This window comes from Homo sapiens, chromosome 12, assembly GCF_000001405.40.
Source record: "Homo sapiens chromosome 12, GRCh38.p14 Primary Assembly".
Classification (NCBI taxonomy): domain Eukaryota; kingdom Metazoa; phylum Chordata; class Mammalia; order Primates; family Hominidae; genus Homo; species Homo sapiens.
In genome coordinates, this window is record NC_000012.12 from 3,763,107 (window position 1) to 3,769,191 (window position 6,085).

Consider the following 6,085-nt stretch of genomic DNA (forward strand, 5'->3'; position numbering starts at 1 on the left):
TTCTCTTCTTTAAAAGACATAAAATTGTATAAAGCAAAACTTATAACACTGTATTGTTGGGTATATAACACACATAGAAATTGATACGATAATGATGGAACAAAGGAGGGTAGGGAAAAGAAATAAATATTGCAGCAATATTTTTAGAATTAATGTAGTATTATTCTGAATTAGATTGCAAGAAGTTGAGATGCACATTGTAATTCCTAAAACACCTAAGAATATAACTCAAAAATACAGCAGAAAAATCAACAGAGGAATTAAAATGCTACACTAAAAATATTCATTTAACATGAAAGACGGAGATAAAAGAGGAGCAAAGGAATAATAACAAAAAAATGAGAAAAATAGAAAACACACAGAAAAATAACAAATATCAATCCATACCAACAATTACACAAAATATAAATGGACTAAATGCCCTACTCAAAAGGAACAGGTTTTCAGACTGGATAAAAAAGAACAAGACCAAATTTTTGTATGTTTGTATATGCTGTCTACGAGAAACATAGCTTAGCTTCAAAGAAACAAGAAACACAGCTTAGCTTCAAAGAAACAAAGAAAATTAAATGTAAAAGGATGGAGGACTTCCAGTTTCAGCTATGACATGTGAAGAGCTTAGAAGTTATCACTTCCATTCTTACAAGATAAAAGCTGCACAAATGGAAAACAAACTTTTCTTAGAGCCATCAGAAAATTGAGATCGCAGGGCAAAGAAGCACCCTGAAATCTAGAGAGACAAGTGAATACAGAGAACCACAGCCTAGGTCAGCTCTTGTAAAGCAGAAGCCACGACAGCCGTAAATGGACAGAAACACTTACAGTAATTCTGATGGATTGCTGGGGGTCGAGTATGGATTTGCTTGAGAGAGTAATTCCTGGAGATGCAGTGTTAGTGTGCTTCCCCCACTACACTTTGATGGATTTTACCTTCAGGAGCCTCACCAGATTCTCACAGTGAATATCCAACAAAAAAATCCCTTATGTTTCAGGCAGGGGTGAGGGGAAAAGTAACCATTTAAAATGCCAAAGCATTCTCCATTTCAAGGGCCTACTCTCCGAGGGAACCAACTTTACCAGAGCCTTATCTACCTGAGAGAAGGACGATTAGCCAACTTCAGCTCCTTCTAGCTTTCCTGTCTCACTTGAAGGAAGGGAAAAACAAAACGAAACAAAAAACATCTGAAGGTTATAGCCCAGAGACTCAGGAAAAAAAAAAAAAAAAGGAGTCAATTGAAATTGTCTCTGAATGTCCCTGGATGTTGGGTCTAGGAGACAGTTTTTAAAGCAGTTATTAGAAATATGTTCTACTAAAATAAAATAAGCCTGAGATTTAATCATAAAATTATAGATCATTTCACCTCACCAACACCTTTTGTATTAGGGTTCTCTAGAGGGACAGGACTAATAGGATAGATGCATATATGAAAGGGAGTTTATTAAGGAGTATTGACTCACAAGATCAGAAGATGAAGTCCCACAATAGACCGTCTGGAAGCTAGGGAGCAAGGAAGCCAGTCTGAATCCCAAAACCTCAAAAATAGAGAACGCGACAGGGCAGTCTTCAGTTTGTGGCCAAAGGCCCAAGAACCCCTGGCAAACCACTGGTGGAGGTCCAAGAGTCCAAAAGCTGAGGAATTTAGAGTCCGCTGTTCCAGGGCAGGAAGCATCCAGCACGGGAGAAAGATGGAGGCCAGAAGACTTAGCTAGTCTAGTCCTTACACCTTCCTCTCCCTGCTTTTATCCTAGCCACGCTGGCAGCTGATTCGATGATAACTACCCAGATTGAGGGTGGGTCTGCCTCTACTAGTCCACTGACTCAAATGTTAATCTCCTTTGGCAACACCCTCACAGCCACACCCAGGAACAATACTTTTCGTCCTTCAGTCTAATAAAATTGACACTCGGTATTAACCATCACACCTTATTATATCAACAGAGCTCTAGTATAGCAGATTACATCTGAAAGACCTGAAAAACACAAGTTCTATTTAAGAAAGGGTTCTGGCCAGATGCGGTGTCTCACGCCTCTAATCCCAGCACTTTGGGAGGCCGAGGCGGGCGGATCACGAGGTCAGGAGATCGAGACCATCCTGACTAACACGGTGAAACCCCGTCTCTACTAAAAATATAAAAAATTAGCCGGGCATGGTGGCAGGTGCATGTAGTTCCAGCTACTCGGGAGGCTGAGGCAGGAGAATGGCGTGAACCCGGGAGGCGGAGCTTGCAGTGAGCCGAGAGCATGCCACTGCACTCCAGCCTGGGCGACAGAGTGAGACTCTGACTCAAAAAAAAGAAAAGAAGGGATTCTTATGGGAACCCAATGACAACAGGACAGAGGGAGGAAAGCAAGGATGCTGCAGGTAACTAAACTCTCTGGCACCTACAGCTATGGTAAACATTAAACATAGCCCAGCTTGTAGCCAGATTAACATAAAACCTCACACAACGGCCTCTTTATCTTAGTTTCTACTACCCAATACACCATGTCTGCTTTCAATAGAAAATTACAAAGCATGCTAAAAGGCAAGAAAAAACAACCTGAGGAGACAAGCATTAGAACCAGACTCACATATAACACAGACTATGGAATTATCAGGTAAGAAAATTAAAAATAATTATGATTAATATATTAAGGGCTGTAATGGAAAAAGTAGACAATATGTAAGAACAGATAGATCATGAGCAGAGAGGTGGAAATTCTAAGAAATAATTGAAAGAAAGTGCTAGAAATCAAATATACTGTAGAATAAATAATGTCTTTGACAGGCTCATCAGTAGACTGGAAACAGCTGAGGAAAGTGTCAGTGAGGCTGAAGATATGGCAGTAGAAACTTCCCAAACTGAAATGCAAAGAGGAAAAAAAAAAAGAAAAAACAGAATATCCAAGAACTGTGGGATGATCACAAAAGGTAAAACATATGTGTAATGGGACTATCAAAAGGAAAAGAAAGAGAGAAAGAAGCAGGAGAAATTTGAGTAACAAACGCTGAGAAGTTTCCAAAATTAATAATAGAAACCAAACTTCAGGAAGCTCAGAGAACATCAATCAGGATAAAATTTAAAAATCTACAACTAGGCATATCATATTCAAACTTCAGAAAACCAAAGACCAAGAAAATCCTGAAAGAAGCCATGAGGGGCGGAGGTGAGGGGAGGACATCTCGCCTATAGAGGAACAGAGATAAAAATTACAGTGAACTTTTTATTAGTCTGGGTTCTCCAGGGAAACAGAACCAATAGAATACACACACACACACACACACACACACACACACACACACACACACCCCACCACATCTCTCTCTCACTCTTTCTCTCTCTTTTTCACACACACACACACACCTCTCACTCTTTCTCTTTTTCACACACACACACACCTCTCTCACTTTCTTTTTCACACACACACACACCTCTCTCTCTCTTTCTTTTTCACACACACACACATCTCTCTCTCTGTCTCTCATGCATACACACGCACACACACGTCACATCACATCTCTCTTTACACAAACACACACATATGTGTGTATGGGTGGGGAGAGAGAGGTGGGAAGGATAAGGAATTAACTCATGCAACTATGGAGGCTAAGTCCCAAGATCTGCCATCAGCAAGCTGGAGACCCAGGAGAGCTCATGGTACACTTGCAGCCTGAGTCTGAAGAACTGAGAACGAGGAGAGCCAATAGCATAACTTCTAGCCTGAGTCCAAGGTTGAAGGCCGTAGAAGAAAAACGTCCCAACTCTAAGACAGGCAGAGAGAGGGAATTCTCTTACTCCAACTCTTTGTTCTATTTAGGCCTTCAACGGATTGGATGAAGTCCACCCATACTGGGGAGGGCAATCTGCTTTACGCAGTCTACCGATTCAGATGTTAACCTCATCAGAAGCACTCTCACAGACACACTCAGAACAATGTTTAACAAAATATATGAACACCCTATGGCCCCGTCAACATATCAAATTAACCGTCACAGACTTCTCGTCAGAGAGTTAAGTGAAACATTTGAAGTGTTGAAAGGAAAAACCTCTAACCTAGAATTCTATACTCAGCAAAATTATCCTTTAAAAGTGAAGGCACAATAAACAAAACAAACAAAAACAAAAACTAAGAAAACTCTGACAAACAAAAACTGAGAAAAACTCATCATCAGTAGATCTGCCTTACAAGAAATATTAAAAGAAATTCTTTTTTTTTTTTTTTTTTTTTTTTTTGAGACAGCATCTGGCTCTGTCGCCCAGGCTGGAGTGCAGTGGCGCGATCTCTGCTCACTGCAAGCTCCGCCTCCTGGGTTCACGCCATTCTCCTGCCTCAGCCTCTCAAGTAGCTGGGACTACAGGAGCCCGCCACCGCTCCCGGCTAATTTTTTGTATTTTTAGTAGAGACGGGGTTTCACTGTGTTAGCCAGGATGGTCTCGATCTCCTGACCTCATGATCCACCCGCCTCGGCCTCCCAAAGTGCTGGGATTACAGGTGTGAGCCACCACGCCCGGCCAAGAAATTCTTTAGAGAGAAGGAAATATGATAGGAAAAGTATTGAAGAAGGAATTATTAAAATAAAATACAATCCTTTACTATTCTTATTCTTAATTGATGTAATGGATAATAACTTGTTCAAAGAAATAATAATAACAATGTATTAGGTGATTATAACATATAGATAAATGAGTGACAGCAATGCAATAAGGAACAAGAGGGAGAAATTAAGAATATATAATTATAGATAAATATTTGAAAGTGGACTTAGATTAGTTGTAAACACACATTATACACACTAGGGCAACCACTCAATATTTTTTACAATGTAATTGATATGCAGAAAGGAAAGAAAATGGAATCGTACAAAATGCTCAATAAAACTCAGAGAAGGTGGGGAAAGGGGAAAATTTGAAAAGGAAACAAAGAATAAGTACAAAAAAAAAGAAGATAGTTAGAAGTGTGATAGACAGTAATCCAACTATATCAAAAATCACTTTAAATGTGTGTTCTAGGCCGGGAAGCCTAGGAAGCCAGGCTTAAGAATAAGAAACAAGGCCAAGTGTGGTGGATCACACCTATAATCCCAGCACTTTGGGAGGCCGAGGCGGGTGGATCACCCAAGGTCGGGAGTTCGAGACCAGCCTCACCAACATGGAGAAACCTCGTCTCTACTAAAAATACAAAATTAGCCGGGTGTAATGGCACATGCCTGTAATCCCAGCACTTTGGGAGGCCGAGGTGGGCGGATCACCCAAGGTCGGGAGTTCAAGACCGGCCTGACCAACATGGAGAACCCTCGTCTCCACTAAAAACACAAAATTAGCTGGGCGTAGTGGCGCACACCTGTAATCCCAGCACTTTGGGAGGCCGAGGTGGGCAGATCACCCAAGGTCGGGAGTTCGAGACCAGCCTGACCAACATGGAGAAACCTCGTCTCTACTAAAAATACAAAATTAGCCAAGCGTAGTGGTGCACGCCTGTAATCCCAGCTACTCGGGAGGCTGAGGCAGGAGAATCACTTGAGCCTGGGAGGCGGAGGTTGCGATGAGCCAAGGTCGCACCATTGCACTCCAGCCTGGGCAACAAGAGCAAAACTCCGTCTCAGAAAAAAAAAAAAAAAGTGTGGTCTAAGTAAACAAAAGACAGAGATTGTCACAATGGATTTAAAAAACAAGACTGAACTAAATGCTGTTTATAAGAAACTCACTTTAAATAAAAAGACACAGATAGAATAAATTAAAGGGGTGGAGGAAAAGATGCCATGATGACATTACTCAAAATAAATCTATAATAACCATATTAATTTCAGACAAAGCAGACTTCAGAACAAGAAAAATTGACAGGGATAAAGAGGGGCATTACATAGTGGTAAAGGGACCAGTTCTCAAAGAGGACTACCATACTTGACACGTATGCGTCTAACAAGAGAGAGTCAAAATGTGTGAGGCAAAAACTGATGGAACTGCAAGGAGAAACAGACAAATCCACTAACATAGCTGGAGATTTCAACATCCTCTTTCAGTGACTGACTGATAGATTCAGCAGGCAGAAAATCAATAAGCATAGAGTTGAACCGGATAGCAGCACTAAACAACTGGATCTAAT